Consider the following 20,632-nt stretch of genomic DNA (forward strand, 5'->3'; position numbering starts at 1 on the left):
GGCCATGTTTTCTAATAAAAAATTTAAAGTATGTATCAATGAAAAGCTCAAAGAAGGCTCTGGAATTTTGGCAAGCATTCTGAGTTGCGCTCCTTTTTCTTTACCAACAATGTTTGAACTGAAAATACTTTTTAAATTGTGCAAGCAATTTATTGTTCATATTAATATCTGTTCACATTAATATCTGTTCAATTATTACTTTCATTTTAAATTCTTCATGTTAGAGAAGGATCATTGTTTCATTTATTTTCTCTCCCACTACTCCCCATCTTATAGGTTTAGCCATTCTGACATTAGCTTTTAGAATTCTACTGAACTTGGGAATTTTAAATTGTTCTCTGTAAATATTGGACCATCAGTGCCATGTTACCCTTGTTATGCACCACTAAATATTATTTTTCTTCAAATTATTCAAAGTTCTGGATAAGTGTTCACTTGTCTTGGTTGAGTAATATTACTGGCTTGTGATTTTTTTTTTTTTTTCTGTTCTTGTAATCCCATGGATGTTTTATTGGGTATAAATATTTAAGTGTTGCCAATTATAAAATCTTCATTCATGAAAGTTGATATTAAAGATGTATTGTGAAATATGTAAGAGTAATAACAAAATACTGTGTCTTTAAATTTAGTATATAAAATCCACTTACTTTCTAATCTGAAAGACTTTTCTTGTAAAATTAACAGTAATATGTTTTATATTTAAAAATAGCTAGACAAGAAGATTTGAAATGTTCCTATTACAAAGAAATGATAACTCTTCCAGGTTCCGGAGATCCTAAATACCCTGATTTCCTTATCCCACATCATATGCATGTATCAATATATCACACACACTCCACAAATATATACAATTATTACGTATAAAATAATAAAATTTTATTTTTAATAAAAATTAAAATTAAGATATAATAAATATATGAAAGTATCAGTAGAATCCTAAAAAAATACTACTTTCTCTCATAATCTTCTAATAGAAATTTTTTATTACATACTAACTAATGTCAAAATTAGATTTCTTTTCCTAGAAACCTCCTTATAATCTCACACAGCTGTGATGAACATTTTCCAGAACCATCATTCATCACAATAGCAAAGTTCAAAGTGTTTTTGTCTTTCTTGTTCAATTTAAGTGTAATTTTCTTTATCTTACAATGGAAAGGCCAGCCTTATGAGTAATTCTCTGTAAAGAATGTGTAATATCCTGTAGGCATATAAATTAAATGTAATATCCATTTAATGGAAATCTGCTAATTTTTATTGTTTCAAATTTCCTAAAAATTTAATCAAAACAATCTTAAGAATTCCTATTTAATTTTAACTATTAGTTTTTCTTTTCTTAAAATACTTTTGTGGCCGGGCGCGGTGGCTCACGCCTGTAATCCCAGCACTCTGGGAGGCCGAGACGGGCGGATCACGAAGTCAGGAGATCGCGACCATCCTGGCTAAGAGAGTGAAACCCCGTGTCTACTAAAAATACAAAAAAATTAGCTGGGCGTAGTGGCAGGCACCTGTAGTCCCAGCTACTCTGGAGGGTGAGGCAGGAGAATGGCATGAACCCGGGAGGCAGAGCTTGCAGTGAGCTGAGATTGCGCCCCTGCACTCCAGCCTGGGTGACAGAGCGAGACTCCATCTCAAAAAAAAAAAAAAAAAAAAAAACTTTTGTATCTATTTTTCTCAGTATCCAAACTTTTCTTATTATTACGTATGAATCAAAAATAAAATATAATTATATTAAAATAGTACATATTTGAATATAATCACATTAAAATTTAAATTAAATAGAATAAATCAAAACTTAACATTTAATAATATATTATAATAGACTTACAAAAGATTACTAACATTATAATACAAAGTACAAATTATATCAAATAAAATAAAAATTTATACTTTTAATATATTTTAAAGTTGTGAAGCAATCTAGAACTTACAAAAAACCTGCAAGTACAGTACAAATAATGTTCTTTGGCTTATCTTGATGCTTCATCACTTCAAATCAATTAATGTAATTGCTTACAAAGACTTTCTTCTACATACCCACAATCCAATCATTAAAATCAGGAAATTAACACTGACACATTGCACATTTAATTGACCCCTGTAATCTGCAGACCCTATGTAACTTTTGCCAATCTTGTCAAAAATGTCAAACTTATTAAATGGAATGGTGATTGTGAGGGGATGAGAAAAGTGAGAAACGGGCAGGTGTTCAATGGGTATAAAGTTAGAGGTAGACAAGATGAATAAATTCTAGAGATCTGCTGTGCATCATAGTGCCTATAGTTAACAATATGCTACTGTGAACATAAAATATTGTTAGCAGGGTAGATTTCATGTTAAGTGGCTTTATCTTGTCAATCAATCAATCAGTCAATCAAAGGCTCACTAGGATTCTGACCAATTTGCGTAATTCACATTTGAGGAAAATCAATAAGACCAACCATGTCACTCCCAGCTTTCCACCATCATTGACCAAGATTTCTTTCAATAGTTATTTCTTTGGCTAAGACTATAAATACCAATCTGAAATGAAAATATCTTGTTAATGAAACCACCTGATGGCCAGTCCTAAGTGTCAAGGCAGCAAGCAGGATGCAAAGGCAAAGACCCAGTGAAGAACAATTTTAGAAAATGAAAATGGAGTCCAGGTGCAGTGGCTCATGCCTGTAATCCCAGCATTTGGGAGGCCGAGGCAGGCGGATTACCTGTTGTCAGGAGTTCAAGACTGACCTGACCAATATGGTGAAACCCCGTCTCTCCTAAAAATACAAAAATTAACCAGGCACGGTGGCATGTGCCTGTGATCCCTGCTACTCAGGAGGCTAAGACAGGAGAATCGCTTGAACCCAGGAGCTGGAGGTTGTAGAGAGCTGAAATCGGGCCATTGCACTCCAGCCTGGGCAACAAGAGCGAAACTCTGTCTCAGACAAAAAAAAAAAAAAGAAAGAAAAGAAAGGAAGAAAAAAAAGAAAATAAATGCTTTGGCATGTTTCTGCACAAAGACATGAGATTCAAGGTGTTGAGTGAGTACAGATCCACATTCCTGGGTGTTTTCAGTCTGTACGTGGACAGTAGCCTACTTGCCATATGTAGTCATGGCTAATCCAGCACTAAAAATGACTATTGACGCATTGTGTGTGTTTCTTTCCTCCTTTAGGTAGGTTTATTTCTTCCTTTCCAGATGGGTTTGTAAGTGGAAGTAGGTTAAATTTAGAACCCTGCTCTCATCATCCCACTTCCACTCAACCCTTTTCTGTCGCCCTGTCTTGCCCTCCTTCTTTCATTGTGCTGTCTATTCATTCAAACCCTTTCCGTGCGATCTATGGGGATTCTGAATCACAAAATATAGGAAATACAATGATAATTCTCTTCTATTGTAATACTCCTACATAAAGCCATCTCTGTGCGTGGAGAAATTCATTTCTCGTCCACCAGTAATACTCGTCAGTAAAAGAATGCTGGAGAAATACCCTATTCTGTACCCCAGGCACTGTCACAGATACTGCCCCTCCACAGCCCCTCTCCTGAGCACCACCAAAACCGCAGTATGCAGTCCAGTGCCTGCTACTTCGTAGATTCCAAAAAATATACTTGGTGAATGGATAGTCTGCTGATTGCACACTTCAGTAATATTTATAACCAGTCTTTGAGTCATGATTACTGTCATTCTTTATAGATTTGAGATCAGAAACTCAACAAAGTATAGTAACAAAGACACCAAATTGGAACTCCTGTCTTAGGACTCCAAGTCCAGCACTGTCTCCATTACCCCTTGGTTGCCGCTCTATTGTAGGAAAGTCCTAGTATTTTTTTTAACTCAGTTTAAATAGAGCAAAATGTTTCTATTTTCAAATTTTCCTTCAAATTGGACACTTTAACTTGACAATAGAATGGTTCAAGCTCCCTCTCTCTGAGGGAGGGATCTATAATTTCTCATCAAGGACCTCAGAGATAGATGCCCAGGATGTACCATAAAAATGCACAGGGTGATGGGCAGTATGGATTATCTTGTTGCATCTATGAATGTGAGATTGAAATGTTTGACCTATTAGATTTTCTTCACATTGATGAAATTTTGGATGGCAGCTTCACTTAGAAACTAAATTAACCAAAAACCTCCATCCCGTTCAGGAATAATTTGAACTCTGGATGGACGAGTTGCTTTTCTGCCTAGTCAGACCCCTTTGCCATCAATAAGTGATGGGGGAAGAATCTGCAGCCTCAGCAGTTTTGGAGTCCACGTAAACTAAGCACCAAAGTCTTGTTTTGTTCCTGTGGCAGGGAAAAAATCAGTCATTAATTCGTTACTTTATTTACTAACTTCTTTATTGAACCATCTAATAAATATTAGTGTGATAGAACTCACAGTTTAGAAATGCAGGCACTTACTGCTTCCCAAAATCAACACACATTTCTCAAGAAAGTAGATAGAATGTGGCCTCTAAAAGACTATGTTTAAGGAAGTTTCCACTTCCAAAGAAAACACAATCCAAACTTTCTTTAAATTTGATTATATGGGTGCCATACTCAAAGCTCCAACCTTCTCTCGGTCAAATGTATAGGCATCAAAAGCAAAGTAGAAGCTCCTTAAAAAGTGCCTGCTCATAGGTTTTCCAGCATATGGGGAGATAACTCCACGGCTAAATGTGACTGGGTCACACACCTGAATAGGTACTTCTGTTCCTGCCCCATTGGGAAGCTTCAAGGCTAACCCTACTTTCTGCTTGGGAGGTACCCCCATACTCAAGACAAAGAGGAAAACAATGTGGAGTCCACAGGAAAAGACACATGATTGGATTAATTTGGAATGATATATACTGGGAATTACTCACTTTAATTTTATTTATTATCAAACTATTACATGCTGTAATGAACATGCCAGTTAGAGCTAAAGGCTTATAACACAACAGTTTCAAGACACAGTGCTTTTTCTCTATTTCCACTTCCATCTTGCTCCCAGAGGCAAACTTCTCTACTTTTAGTTTTATTTTGCTTATACTATATTTTTATTTTTATTTCTGCTTCAGTTTATCTCCTACCTCCCACTTTTAGGATCTTAGTTCATTTATACTGCCACTTGCACTTTCCAAATACAATATAAATATGTATCAATGGAGGCAGGGCATGGTGGCTCACACCTGTAATCCCAGCACTTTGGGAGGCCAAGGTGAGCGGATCACCTGAGGTCAGGAGTTCGAGACCAGCCTGGCCAACATGGCGAAACCCCGTCCCTACAAAAATACAAAAAATAGCTGGGTGTGGTGGCAGCACCTGTAATCCCAGCTACTTGAGAAGCTGAGGCAGTAGAATCGCTTGAACCCAGGAGGCGGAGGTTGCAGTGAGCCGAGATTGCACCACTGCACTCCAGCCTGGGCAACAGAGTGAGGAAAAAAATATATCAATGGCCTTATCTACTGTATGCTAATTTCAATATTCTGACTATAAAAATGCCCACTGCTGAGTCAGTGTACAGTTAATAAATTACTCTTGTTCAATTTTGCATTATCCTTGAGAATAATAACTTACTTTTTTGGTTGTATATTTATTTGATATCTGTGTCTTTCTATATCCTTTAAAAATCTTTAAAGTATCTCTCCAATACATTTTCTACACAGTCTAAACTGTCAAATTAAGTTACATTTTTACCTCCAAAGAAACATTTCTAAACCCATGTAAACTATCTAGATGATTGGTCTTGGGATCTGCTTTCCAGTTATGATCTAGGAATTTTTTTCCATATCATGCTGGGACTTAATTTCTTTTGCATCTGTACTGTTGCCTTTCAGTGCCTGTATCTCCATCCCACTGCCACATTCCTTTTTGTTTGTTTATACCATATTTTAAAATCTGCATACTTGATCATATGTTTGGCTTTCAAATTCTAAATTGAGTATATAGTTAGAAGTTTGTCTATGGAAAATGATTAACTAATATGACTGAGAAGAAAGGACAAAAGAGGCAGGAGAAAATATTGAAAGTATCATAGACTAATGAAAATAGTGTTTCACAGCAAAAATGGTGATTATTGCTACCTAGAATTCAATTAAAAGGAGAATTTCAAATTTCTACTAGATTTTGCAAAAACAGATGTCATTGGTACGTCTTAAAAGGAATATTTAACAGAGAGCTAGGATAAAATCTGACTGGGAATGTTCAAGGGGGAAGTGTGCTGTGGTGAGTGGAAATGGGAGTGGAGGATACTCTCTTTGGGAATCTTTGCATAGATGGAGTCGGAGAAAAGAAATAAAAATAGCTAACATGGGGCCAGTAGTTAGAATATATTACAGGCTTGCACATTTGCATGCTGAACTAATAAAGAAGGACAAGAAGAAGAAAAAGAATGATTCAAAAGCGAAGCGATAACTTCAGAAGCCATGCCATTGATCAGATAAGAGGAGATAAAAACCACAGAATAAACAGAGGGTTATCCATAGGTAGAAACAAGACTACATTTTCAGTTTTAAGGTGAGGGCAGTAGAGGTAGATGTGATTTCATATAGGTAGAGGCGAGAGCAAAAACTACTTTAAATAATATCTGACAGTGGGAATTACAAGGAACGGTTTTAAAGCCATCTTAGAAGGAAAGGTCACTTCTCAATCATGATATACTCAGAAAACAGAGGCAGATTCTTTCTAAACCTATTACATATCTTTTATAAAGATGTGTACTAGATGGTGTACTTTTATAAAGATGTGTAATAGCAGAAAAGCTCCTCTTAGCAGAAAGCTAGGAGGCCACTCCTTAAAAGCGTATAACACACAGCAGTTTCAAAAATTATATAAGTTGGGAGCTCAATCACGTAACCAAGAAGAAAAACTTGTGAATCCATCTTCAAATATCTATTAAACACCTACTCTCTCTATGTCCTAATAAATCCTTTCTGAAGTTTATAAAATACAAAAATAAAGTGTTTGCTGGTTTTTTGCTAGGATTGAAGAAAAAGCCTTCCAAAGTAAGCAATGTGAGAATAGCATTTGGGTAATGAGAAGACCACTCAAATAACAGAGGAAAAATCATTCCTGAAACCAGCAAACTGAAAGGCCGTGAGATGAAAATGAGTTTGGAGAATCATAAACTGAAGTCAGGACAGGAAATCAGTTCCTCTTGCATTTTATTTCCAGGTTATTTCATTGGGCCAGGTTCCTGCTGTACTTAACTCCACAGAGGCATTCTTCACATAATCAGAAAGTCCAAGGGGTGTGATATGGTTTCCAAACGTTTAAACAACCATGGCCTGCATTAATAATAGTGTAACTTCCAGACCAAGCACTAGAGCTCCAATGTTATTTTTTATCCTTTGCAAGTCCCATTTATATCATCATCTTATGGCATTAACTAAGAACCCCATGCACAAGGAACAAATTTCCCCTTTCCCCGAGAGGATAATATATGTAGAAAATGACCATGTCACACTTCTCCACACAGCTCTGCTGGACCTCAGCTAGATCCACACTTCTATAAAATTAATAGTCCTTTTTACATTTTCATGATTAGTATTGACCTATCTCTTTATTATTAACCTTTTTTTAAAAAAATATATTCATCTTTATTAATTTTATTCTGCATGCCCAGAGAAGGTATTTTGGATCACAGATGGGTTTCTTACTAAGTACCTTGCAAGAAATAATAAGCACACCATCACCCCTTGCCACCTGGGTCAAGGAGATGAGAAGAAAATGGTGACACCTTCTACAAGCCTGTCTGGACATTCCAAAGGCAGACATGAAGAATAGGTTCTCTCTCTCCTTATATGCAGGAGAGTGACAGCTGACCTCCTGCCTTTCAGCAAGGAAAGCAACAAACTTTTGCTCAACTGAGACATAATAGAAGGGATCCCAGGTTATCACCCTAATGTTTTGGAAGGTAAATCTGTCTCCAACAAGGACCAAGTAAACCCAGGGTTCAGTCTTTTAAATCCTAAAGATGTCTTCTTCGGTCTGCCCTTCACAATGTTTTGAAATGCAAGCAGCTGGAGAGATGGCAGTCTTGTCTTTCTGGGTCTGCAGGGCTTAATTTAGGGGCCTAGTTGGAACTGTAATTTTTTAGCCCTCTGGGATCAGATCAGTTAACTAGGAAAATGACTACAGAGCTTATTCTCATGGGATATGAGGAGTGAAATGCATCAAGGGGAAGTGAAAGCAACATTTTCTATCTTTAACCATAGTCATTTCCATATCTCAGGAGGTTAGGGCTTTTTATAGGAGTACTGAGATATCCAAAGGAGTTTATTTTCGAAGAGGCAACTCAATACCTTCCAAGGCAGTTAGTTTCATGTTTGAAATGCTCTTATGGAAAAATAATGGGAATAGCAGTCATTATAATCAGCATTAGTAATCACTTACTTATGGGAAAGAAATTATACTAAGTTTCATATAGATTTGATTCTCACCACAACCCTATGAGATTGAGACTCCTATTATACAATTTTAGAGAAATATAAACTGTGGTGAAAACTGATTATAAAACTTTCCTGAATATTCACAGCTAGTGTATACTTGTACCCTCTTTACACTGAAGAAATGAAGCTATTCCAAATGGCAACATTCTGTACTCTCTACTAAACTGGTTGTAACACACACCTTCATCCTGCACTGATAACTTTCTTACCATAACTTTCTCTCATCCCCATTTCTAGGACCTCAGTTCTTTAAGACATTTATTCTGTCAAGATTCCCAGATCCTCGATAAACCTTATCACTGTCCTCTAGATGCACTCTTGTTTTTCAAAGTCCTTTTTAAAATGAAGAGCTCTGAATTGGATCCAAGTGCTTTTGTGTTAAGATAAGGAGCTGAATTTTCTTCTTAAAGGTGATTGAGAGGCATTGTAGGGGAGTACAATAAAGCAGATTTGCATTGTTTAAGGTCACATTCACAAGACAATGGAGAATGACCAAGAAGGCATCCAACTAGTGGAAGAAAGGCATGAGTTTGATGGCCATTGAGTCAATGTGGTTTAGAGACGAACTTAAAAGAACATCTTAGCAATGGGAATCTCCTCTTGTATTAAATGAGTTCTGACTTACTTATTCTAATTACTGTAGAACAGTTTTCACCTTTCAATAAATAAAATTAAATTATTGGTACTGTTGATGTCTGGATTTTTCACTGCATTTCAGCAAAGAGGTTTATAATCTCAAACCACAAGAGGGGTTTGTTGAAGGAAATTCCCCAAGACTGTGGGTGATGCCATTTGGGTCTAGAATTTCTAGTATTTTTAAATAACATTCCCTCAACTTATTATTTTTCAGCCCAGATGGTTACCATATTTTATCTGGAAGGGGGAAAAATCTGAAGGCTATAAAAATATTACATTGGGAGAAAAGGGTTTTTCTGGTCTATATAAATTTTGGTCATATTCTTTTTTGAGATATGTTTTGGATACCACATTCTCAACACTGTAGATGTTTCCCAAGCACCTCAATATCCGAGAATATAAAAAAGGGATTCTCATGTTATTTCCTAATGAACATTCATACATACACATTCATGTAGACACATAACATGGAGTAATTTGTATATATAAATTACATGTAAGGAGTCGATGTCTGCTCAGTCTTGCTTCTACATATAAAGACACCAATATATGCCTGTAACATATTGTGGCCTTTATGGAGAATTGGGGGACATCAACCAGGCCTTTCATGTCATCTCCAAAGGAGGAGAGAATTTTAATAGTTACAAGGCAGAGACAAGCCTGGCCACACAGCTTTCAGGTTGAAGAATAAAGCTTAAAGGTTCTTGTTCCATCCAGTTTTGAAAGAATAATCTTTTTGATTTATTAAAATGTTTTATTTCTTTTTAGTTTGGAATCACTGTCTTTTGAAACTGTAAGACTAATGCAATAAGATATTCTTAAGCTAGCCATCACTTTTCAGGAAATTCTGTATACCAAGGTGGAGCGAAGATAGAGTAAGGATGGAGCCAGGTTGGGGCAACTTAAAAGTTTTTTCCACTGTAGGTAGAAGGAGGGCTTCTGCCTCCTATATGGTCCAGCCCCAGCAAAATAGACTATACTTCATGCAATGTCTTTCTTATGTGATAAACGGCATGTTTTGCCTAGCGTGTCCCTCAGGAAGTTTCAGTCACTTGGGATTTGAGGATTTGCCCATCTTCACTTTTCTCCCTTTGCCTATTTTTTTTCTCACACTTCTTATTCGATCAACCAACCTCTTCCCCTGCCTTAGACACAATGCACATACCTCTGATAGGACTCAGGTAATATAGAAGAGCCATTGCCTATAGAATCTGGAACCATGACATTGGTCTAAATTCTCCTTAGTGAAGCAACTAAATCAGGACAACATATTGGACAGTTAGGGCACACATTTGCAAGACCTTTCACAAACTTAAAATATGTGGGAGAAATAGCTAAATCACAGACTAGTAAAATGTTATTATCCTTTTTTTTCTAAAGAAAACACCCCTAGACATTTTCTGTAATACCCACAAACTTAATTACAAAAATGCCTATAAAAGTAGAATTACATTTTGCAGGACTTGACAGGTCTTGAATGAGATACTTAATAATCAAGAAAAAATGAAGTTGTATAAGTAGACTGTCAAGGAAAGCAAGCAATGTAATTCTGACATTCTGGAGAGTTTAAAAGAACAAAAGTTTATAATACAATTGTTTCTTGTTAAGATGTTTGCTTAAAAAAAATACTATGTGATTGCTAAAAAAATAAAATAAAATACATTTGAAGAAAAAATGGTTTGGAAATCCAACTCTGATGAGTATTAGGCTATGACATTGGATAATTCCTCTAAATATACCGATTTCCTTTTAGTAGAATATAGATAATTTTTACTTATATCAGTTACAGCAATGAAACATAATATTCATATATATGCATATAAATTATGTGAAAATATCAACCTGTTATAAATGATTATTAAACGTAAGTGAATTTAAAAGACCAAATTCCCATGTCTCTTTAATGTTAATACAATGATGTTATTTTCTATTTGACAGTAAGCCTCAATAACCTTTAAAGGCAGCTTTGACCATGGTAAAATAACTCCATTATTACCTACAAAATATGTTTGACATGTTGTGAAGTCACTCATAACTTATGACACTCATGTGACTCTATGAAATAAAAGAGGAAGCTTTCATTGTGATTTTGTTGAGGAGCAAAACAAATTTGGACCACGTTTTCATTTTGATATAAGTTTAAATTAATATATAATTTCCCACTTGAGAAATACTGTTATAAACTTATAGAAGGGATTGTGGGTAATATGAACATTATTGGAATACAAATGTTGGTATATTGCTTACTTTCCCTGCCTCATTTCTTTCCCCAGGCCTCAGTAAGAATGTAGCTATTTGGTATTCATAAGAAATTCATAGGGAAATAAGTTTTGAACCATTTAAAAAGATTCTATAAGAAACTACCTTTAAAGGTACTATTTTATTTTTTAAATTGATAGGTGAAATTGTATGTATTTATCGTGTACAACATGAAGTTTTGAAGTATATACACATTATACAATTAATAAATCTAGCAAATTAACATGTCTATTACCTCACATAGTTAACATTTTGTGATGAGAATTGTTACCATTCACTTCTTAGCATTTTTCAAGATTGCAATATATGGTTATTAACTATAGTCACCATGATATATAATAGACTTCTTGAACTTATTTCTCCTATTTAACTGATATTTTGTATCCTTTGACCAACATCTCTTTCAAGTACCCCAGCTCCTAGTAACCACTATTCTGCTTTCTGTTCAAGGAGATTAACGTTTTTACTTTTTTAGATTACATCTATGAATGACATCATGCAGTGTTTTGTCTTTCTGAGCCTAGCTTTTTTCACTTAACGTCCTCCAGATTCATCCAGGTTGTGGGATATTAAAAGATTTTCTTTCTTTCTATGGCTGAATAGTATTGCATTGTGTATACATACCACATTGTCTTTTCTTTGTCCATTTATCTGTTGAGAGACACTTAGGTTGTTTCTATCTCTTGACTATTGTGAATAATGCTGAAATACACAAGCGAATGCAGATATCGCTTTGATATACTGATTTTATTTCTTTTGAGTATCATCTAGTAGTGGAATTGCTGGATCATATGATAGTTCTGTTTTATTTTTGAGGAGCTCTCATGCTGTTTCTCATAATGTCTGTACTAATTTATATTCCCACCAACAACAATGGGCAAGGGTTCCCTTTTTTACACATCCTCGACAACACTTGCTATATTTTGTCTATTTGATAATAACCATTTTAACATGTGTGAGGTGAAATCTCACTTTGGTTTTAATTTGCATTTTCTGATGATTAGTGATGTTGAGCACTTTTTCATATACCTGTTGGCCATTTGTATGTTATTTTTAAGGAAATGTTTATGCAAGTCCTTTGCCAGTTTTTCAATCTGTTTGTTTTCTTGCTTTTCAGTTGCTTGAGTTTCTTATATATTTTGGATATTAATCTCTGATCAGATGTATAATTTGCAAATATTTTCTCTCAGTCTGTAGGTTGTCTCTTCACTTTGTTGACTGTTTTCTTTACTGTACAAAAGCTTTTAGTTTGATAAAATCTCATTTGTCTATTTTTCTTTTGTTGCCTGTGATTTTGGGGTTATAGCCAAAAAATTATTGCCCAGATCAATGTCATGAAGTTTTTTTCCCTATATTTTCTTCTAGTAGCATCATAGTTTTGGGTCTATGAAAGTATTAATCTATTACTATTAAGTATTTAATCAATTTTGAGTTGATTTTTGCATGTGGTGTGAGATAAAGGTCTAATTTTATTCTTCTGCATGGTAATATCTAGTTTTCCCAACACCATTTATTGAATAGACTGTCCTTTTCCCATTGTGTGTTCTTGGCATCTTTGTTGAAAATCAGTTGACTATAAATGTGTGAATTTACTTCTGCACTCCCTTTTCTGTTCCACTGGTCTATGTGTCTGTTTTAATGCTAGTACCATGCTGTTTTGGTTACCATAGATTTGTAAGATATTTTGAAGTCAGGAAATGTGATGCCTCCAGCTTTGTCCTTTTTGCTCCACATTGCTTTGGCTATTCAAAAAATTTTTTGGTAGTTCTGTGTGAATTTTAGGATTGTTTTTCCTACTCCTGTGAAGAATATCATTGGTCTTTTGGTAAGGATTACATTGATTTGCAGATTGCTTTGGGTAGTATGAATAACAATATTAATTTTATTAGTAATATATTAATATGGATTGTAATAATAATATTCATTAATATAGATATTAATATGGTTATTAATAATATCTATACACATGGGAGATTTCTCCATTTATTTGAATCTTATTCAATTTCTTAATCTTTTATAGATTTCAGTGTAGAGATATTTCATCTCCTTGGTTAAATTTATTCCAAAGTATTTTATTTATTGTCGTACTACAAATGGGACTGTTTTATTTCTTTTTTAGATAGTTTGCTCTTTGATATGGTTAGGCTTTGTGTCCCCACTCAAATCTCATCTTGAATTATAATCCCCATAATCCCCACATGTCAAGGCAGAGACCAGGTGGAGGTAACTGACTCATGGGGGTGGTTTCCCAATACTGTTCTCATGATAGCGAGTAACTTCTCACTACATCTGATGGTTTTATAAAGGGCTCTTCCCCCTTTTCCTGGCAGCACTTCTCCTATCTACTGCCTTGTGAAGAAGATGCCTTGCTTCCCCTTCACCTTCTGCCATGATTGTAAGTTTCCTGAGGCCTCCCCAGTCATGCTGAACTGTGAGTCAATTAAACCTCTTTCCTTTATAAATTACCCAGTCTCGGGTATTTCCTTACAGTAATGTGAGAACAAACTAATACACTCTTAGTGATTATATGACTAATATCACTGATATCAGAAATGATAGTGATTTTCATATGTTGATTTTGTACCCTACAACTTTACTGAAATTATTTTTAGTTCTAACGGGATTTTTTTTTTTTTTGGTGACATCTTTAGGGTTTCCTATGTATAAGATCATGTCATCTGAAAATGTTCAATGTAACTTTTTCCTTTCTAATTGTAATGCTTTTCTTTCTCTTGCCCAATTGCTCTGGCTAGAACTTCCAGTACTATGTTGGATTAAAGGGCAAAACTGAGCACCCTTTTCTTGTTTCAGTTTTTACAGGAAAAGCTTTCAACTTTTTTCTGTTGAGTATGATGTTAGCTATAGATTTGTTAAATATGACCTTTCTGTGTCCAGGTACATTTAAACCATGTAATATACTTCCTTAAACCTTGACATCTAGTTATAGCAAACCTTCCTCATTTATCCTCTTTCTTTTTAAATATAATTCAGTATTTTTTAACTTAGACATAAAAAAAGCCTTAAGAAAGTAATGGATCCGCTTTTTAGCTGTTGATTATAATTACACCACTGTAAATGCTATGCAATGCTCTGAATCCATCTGGGTCTGTGTGCATTTCTAGAACAGTGAGGCATCCATCAAAACAGCCTTTTCCTTTGTGTGTTTCTATGGGTTGAGAACATTTAATAAACCCAGTCTCTGTCAACAAGCAGCAACAATTTGAAATTATAGTTTACTCACATAAACAAAAAGCTAATGCAAGAGGACATTGAGGTTTCCAAATAGGTATTCTTAGAGTAGTTTATCTTTTATAAAATTGACTAAAAGTAATCTAATTCTGTCATTTTTTCTAAATTTATTAGATACCATTGAGTTATAAAGCTATTACCTGGCAAGGGAATTTTGTCTCAGACTAAAATATTGTCAAAGTAATACCAAGTTGAAATAGGATTTACATTGAAATTATCCATATGGAGGCTACAAGGTTGGTTTCTAAAGAAATGATTAACAACATACCCTATCGCTTTAGAAATAGACTTAAGAATATACCCTTGTTCCCAACATTTGCAGATGTAATATTCGACACCACCTTTATATGTATAAACTTTAATAAATGTCTGTGATTTATTTCACTCATTCACTTATTTATTAAGTCGTAATTGAAAGTCTTTTTACCAGTGCAATGCTGCTAAGAACATAAAAGTACGACGATACAATTCGGGCCCTCACGGGAGTTGTGGAACATTTGTAAAGACAAATTTTTTAAAGACTGGTATAAGAAAGGGAAATACTGCTATGGTAAATATAAAGTCTTCTTCCTTTCAGCCAACAATTTAAAATAAATTTTAGGTCAATATAAAGGGGACTTTCTCTGAAGGGTCAGGGAAATCTTCTTACGGAAGGTGGTACATGAACTATGCCTTAAAGATAACTGATGAAAGGGAGAGGGCAAAGTCCTTATTTGGATAAGAAATTCCACCTCCTCTACAAGTACTTTAATTTCAGGGAATTAGCACAATAAAGGTTTATATCTTGCCCACTTCACCTCATACACTCCACTTCACCCACAGGTGAGCTGGAGAGGGTGGGACTATGGTTTGGCTTTATGCAGTAACCCAGATGTGGGGCACCTTCCTGCCACTGACTTGCCCCTGGAGTTCTCAGCCTGTTCTTCTGGATCTTGCCTATTGATAAGTGGTTTTAGAGACTGGATCTGGAAGCCGCAGCACTCACGTCTGTTCACATAAAATGCTCCAAACTTCATCCTGTGGCATGTCTAGAAATAGAAGCCTAGGAATTGTAGTTTGGTATTAGGCCAAGGAAAAGTAGGGGTATGAGTTATTGATAAGTAGAGACAGTGCCTCCAGAGTGGATAAGGGGGATTCAAGGAGAGGGAACAGGACTTCTAAAATACAGAGAGGAGAGCAGTGCATGTTGAAAAGGAGTGAGGAAGGGGTGCAGGGAGCCCAGACTCAGAACACCAACCACATTTATGTTGGCTTTGTTGGTAAGCTTAGATTTTATTATGCAGCACTGAGAGCCTACTATCAAATTTTAAATGGAGGAATATGAGATGATATTTGCATTTATTGAAGGGAAATCTGATGATTACATGGAGGGTGGATTGGAAAAGAATAAAAGGAAGTGGCTTGTGATAGGCATAGAGAAATATAAATAAGGAATATGGAATTCTTGCCTCATTGGGTCTCAATGTATATGGAAGACTTGCACTTGTACAGAACTGTGAGTTTTCAAAGCATGACTTCACTGATCACTTTTTATCTTCATGGCAAGAATGTGAGATGAAAAGGGTGTATGTTCTTCTTTTCACTGAGGAATAGGTTCAGTTTAAGTGGAAGTGATAATATTTTGCCTTAAACAACTCATCTAAGAGAGGACAGAAAAGATATTAAACCCAAGCCTTCTTCCTTATAGCCACCAACTTAAAACACATTTTAGAAAAGAAATCTTTCAGGAATCTGACAGCCATTTCATGCTAAGCACAGTCATATCACGTCTGTGCCCCACTAACCTTTGAGGTTTTGGGGAGAAAGTCTGGGAGTCCATCTAAGGGCCCATAAAGCTAATTATTTCTGAGAAAATCAAAGCCTTCTCTAGAACAGCTCAGTGGCATTTTTGTGAGAATTTTCAAATTCTTAATTTTCCATCAGTGTTATCACTTATCAAACAGTGAAACCCAAATTGTCCTTGGGCATGTTGGTCACAAATAAAACATAAAATAAACATAACAGCCACAGTCAGATGCATGTTAATAAATTTTAGATTTTATTGGCCAGAGAAGTAAAATCGTAGATAGATTTAATCAAGTTAACAACATCAAAAAATGCATATCTGAGCCTACTAGAAAAGCATAAGAATATTTTGTTTTCTGTGTTCTTCAAGGCATCTGGACAACAGGATTGTGATAGTTCTATGTGCTTTTAAGTAAACCTCCCTAATTCTTGAGGAGGAGAAAAAGGTGAAATTCCTTGGAGCATATAGGGTACAAACATTGGGAATTTTTGCCAATAATTGTTCTTCTGAGACAAACACAGACAAAATGGTGAATATAAAAACACTGAAAGTGCTTTCTTTAAACAGAAGACTGAGACAAGAAGATAGATACCACCACTATTTATTAATGGACTAGAAAAATTGATTAATGCAATTTGAAAAGGAAAATAGATGAAGGATAGGTAAAGATAATTAGTAAAACTATCACATTTTGAGGGTGATATAATAATATCACTTTAAAACTCGAGAACAAACTAGAAAGCCATTTAAAACAATACAAATATTCAGTAAGATAGTAGAGTATAAAATTAGTTCTGAGAAATCTATAGCCTTCACATGTACACGCTGTAGTAGAAACAATAGAGATTAGAGAAAACACTTCACTTATAATAGTAAAAAAAAAAAAAGATTTAAACAACCCAATGGAAATAATAAATGTTTAAAGAGACCATGGGGGAAACTAGAAAACAGTACGCACGAACACAAAAGAAATCCCGAAGGTATGGGTAGACTTAGCTAAGAATAAATGCCTGAAAGAGTCCTGTGTTCTTTGTGGCAATCATGAGAGTATACACTCAAACTTTCCTTGCAGAAAGATTGTGCCAGTCACCTTCGGGAAGCAGTAAGCTAATATCCTCTAGCTCAGCAAGCTCGGGATCCACTACAGTGTTGGAGCTATCCCACACTCTTCCCAGGCAGTCCACAGATAATGACTGAAGAAGGTGGCAGTGACTGAATTATCTACTACCATGTCATAAATTATCCCCACATGCAGCAGGTCGAAAGAAGAATGAATTATTTTTCCTGTGTGTGTATGAAATTTGAGTGTGGCTTACCTCGGTCGTCTGATTCAGAGTCTCTTCAGGCTGCCGTCAACATGTTGCTCTCGCTGCTATCATCGGGTGGTTGATGAGTCTGGAGGTTCTGCTGCCAGAATGCCTCACCCACTTTGCTGTTGGAAGAAGCTCCAGATCCTGGCAACCTGGAGCTCCGTCGGGACTGCTTGAGTGTTTCACAACATGGCAGCTGGCTTTTCCCTCTGTAGGTCACCTCTGCTCCATAAGCTCCCATTAGGCAGGCTAAGACGCTCGCAGTTGCACCGCAGGCTGAGGCTCTTCTACTCAATTCTCTTTCCATCTCTACTATGGGCTGAAGCTCTCGCTGCCCCCGCTTGCCCAGTCTTTCACAGTCAGAAGTCTCCAAACATTGTCACACATTCTTACTTTATCTTGGATTCTGCTTCCTAGAGGACTAAACACACTCAATAATTTAATTTATAAAAGCCCCATGATCACAATAAAAATCATACATGTTTCCTTTGAAATTCATATATATGTGAAATAAAAAACAGTAATATGAATAAAAATTTGAAATTTATATACATTTATATTTACATACAAGGGTTGTTGGATTTATATAAATACAGAATATAATAATCAGGGAAAGTCTGTTTAAGAACTACAGCAGAAAACCATTCTGAACAGGTCATAAGGCATATTATATTATAATGCTTCAAAACAATTAAAACTAGAAATAATAAGATAAAAAAACAAAACATAAAATCTAGAAATATTTTGAAATCAATATGGAGTTTTAATATATGACAAATGTAACTTCTAAAGTTGAAGTGGGAATGTTAAAAGTTTAAATGTTTAAAATGTTAAAAGTTTTTTAACAATTGGGTTTGAACAACTGAAGAGTTACATTGATGAAACTTAGCAGGATACACCAGTAAAATTTCAAATAGATAAAAATTTCACCGTAAAATATGAAGTCATATAAGCATGAAAATAAAACAAGATTAATTCCCTTATAAACCTGAGGTAAAGAAGATCTTTCTTAAACTAATTCAAAATACAGAAGTTGTTAAATTGATACATTTAATTCTTTTGATATAAAAACAGTAAATACAAATGAAAAAAAAAATCACCGTAAATAATGTCAGATGAAAAGAGAAAAAACTGATACAAAATATTTTCAACTTCAGGATGACCTGAAGTTCAACAACTGAGTTTATCACCTTGATTTCTAAGAACTGGAAAACAATTTTAAAAATCCAAAGCAGGATAAAAACAAACATCTATATACACACTTACGCACAAATTACAAATTGCCAGTACACACACGAATCTATATTCACCTTTCTCTAGAAGAGAGAAAAGCAACTTAAAAATACACTGAGATACCCTTTCTCCATTATCAGATTTTTGGTGGCAACACTGAAGAAGCAAGAACTTTGCCACCTAGTTGGTTAGAATGCAAAACGGTGTAAGCCCATGGAGGGCAGGTTTACAATACCTGTCAAAAATTTATTTTTCATTTGTCCCCACAATCCCATTTCTGTTGCCTTATCCTACATAGTCACCTGTGTGTGTATGTGTACAGGTGTGTTCATTGTAGCATTGCTCATAATCACAAAATATTACCATCCACCCAAATGTCCCTCTACACTCAGTCAATTCTTACTGTGCCTCTGTTATAAACCAACTGTAAATACAATATAAAATCAAAAACAAGGCATTCCTGTATGTACTATTATAGAAAGCATTACAAGAGACTGTCCGGGCATGGTGGCTCAAGCCTGTAATCCCAGCACTTTGGGAGGCCAAGCTAGGTGGATCACCTGAGGCCAGGAGTTCGAGACCAGTCTGGCCAACATGGCGAAACTCCATCTCTACTAAAAATACAAAAAATGAGCTGGGCGTGGTGGTGGGCACATGTAATCCCAGCCACTTTGGAGGCTGAGGCAGGAGAGTCACTTGAACCCGGGAGGTGGAGGCTGCAGTGAGTCAAGGTTGCACCATTGCACTCTAGCCTGGGCAACAAGAGTGAAACTCTGTCTCGAAAGAAAAAAAAAAAAAGAAAGTATTACAAGATACGTCAAGTGAAAGCAGCAAGGTTTAGTACAGTATATATAAATTACTACCTTTGGGGTAAAAATGAAGGGTGATAAGAACATGTACTCATATTTGCTTATGTTTTTATGAAAGGACAATGCAAGAACACACACAGAGAAACAAATAAACATGGGGACTTTCACAGGAGAGGAAAGACACTGCATTGCTAGGGAGAAAAGCAGAAACAGACTATTGATTCTGCCTGTACCTTCCTTACATCGTTTTGGGTCCTTAATCATATAAATGCACTCTTCCTCTAAACAAGCAAGCTAAGTGCAAGAGGGAATTGTTCCTCTTCATCCTGCTTTCAGATCATATCCATATATCTACACACCCATTACACAGATACTTATCATGCTCTTAGCTCCCTACACAGTGCAAGATGCCATAGAATATATCTATGATGAAGACATGCACAGGTGTTATGAAATATCTCTGTTTTGTAAAACTAATGGCGTTTGCCAGTTCTGATACTTGACTTTGATTTACAGCATGCTGAATATTGATATGGGTCTTTAGGCCTTTGCTAGGAGTCTCATCAGACCAAAGGAAGGCAACAAGAGGAATATATGCACCAATCCTGCTTCTATGGTACATTACACTTAGCAACACAAAACTGGAACTTTTCTAAACATGAGAGAGGGAAACCATTCAACAGTGCACCATCAAAGGAGCTAAGGGCACGTGGGTGAAGGAGGGATGTGAAAAGGTGCACAGAGGATGTGATGTCAGAAGGGAGCGTGTCCTTAAAGGGATAGATGCCATTAAACCAGGAAGAAAGGTTACCGGGTGTGTTCTGGGCAGAGACCTGTGTACATAAACATACCCAGGCTTCAAAATTTACCTTAGTTAATGGAGCTCTACAAGATTTTACTGGTTTTAAGCCTGAAAAACATAAAGAGAGGTGATGCCCATTTCTAATGAAG

General features: G+C 35.7%; 1 annotated feature.

Annotated features, from left to right (window-relative positions):
• Window positions 8,607-9,164: an enhancer, noted in NCBI's record as "NANOG hESC enhancer chr8:138648708-138649265 (GRCh37/hg19 assembly coordinates)". NCBI's record gives its function as "activates a minimal SCP1, AML or CMV promoter by ChIP-STARR-seq in naive H9 embryonic stem cells {active_cell/tissue: H9 hESC(naive)}" and the evidence as "EXISTENCE:reporter gene assay evidence [ECO:0000049][PMID:30033119]".

This window comes from Homo sapiens, chromosome 8 (genome assembly GCF_000001405.40).
Source record: "Homo sapiens chromosome 8, GRCh38.p14 Primary Assembly".
NCBI lineage: Eukaryota > Metazoa > Chordata > Mammalia > Primates > Hominidae > Homo > Homo sapiens.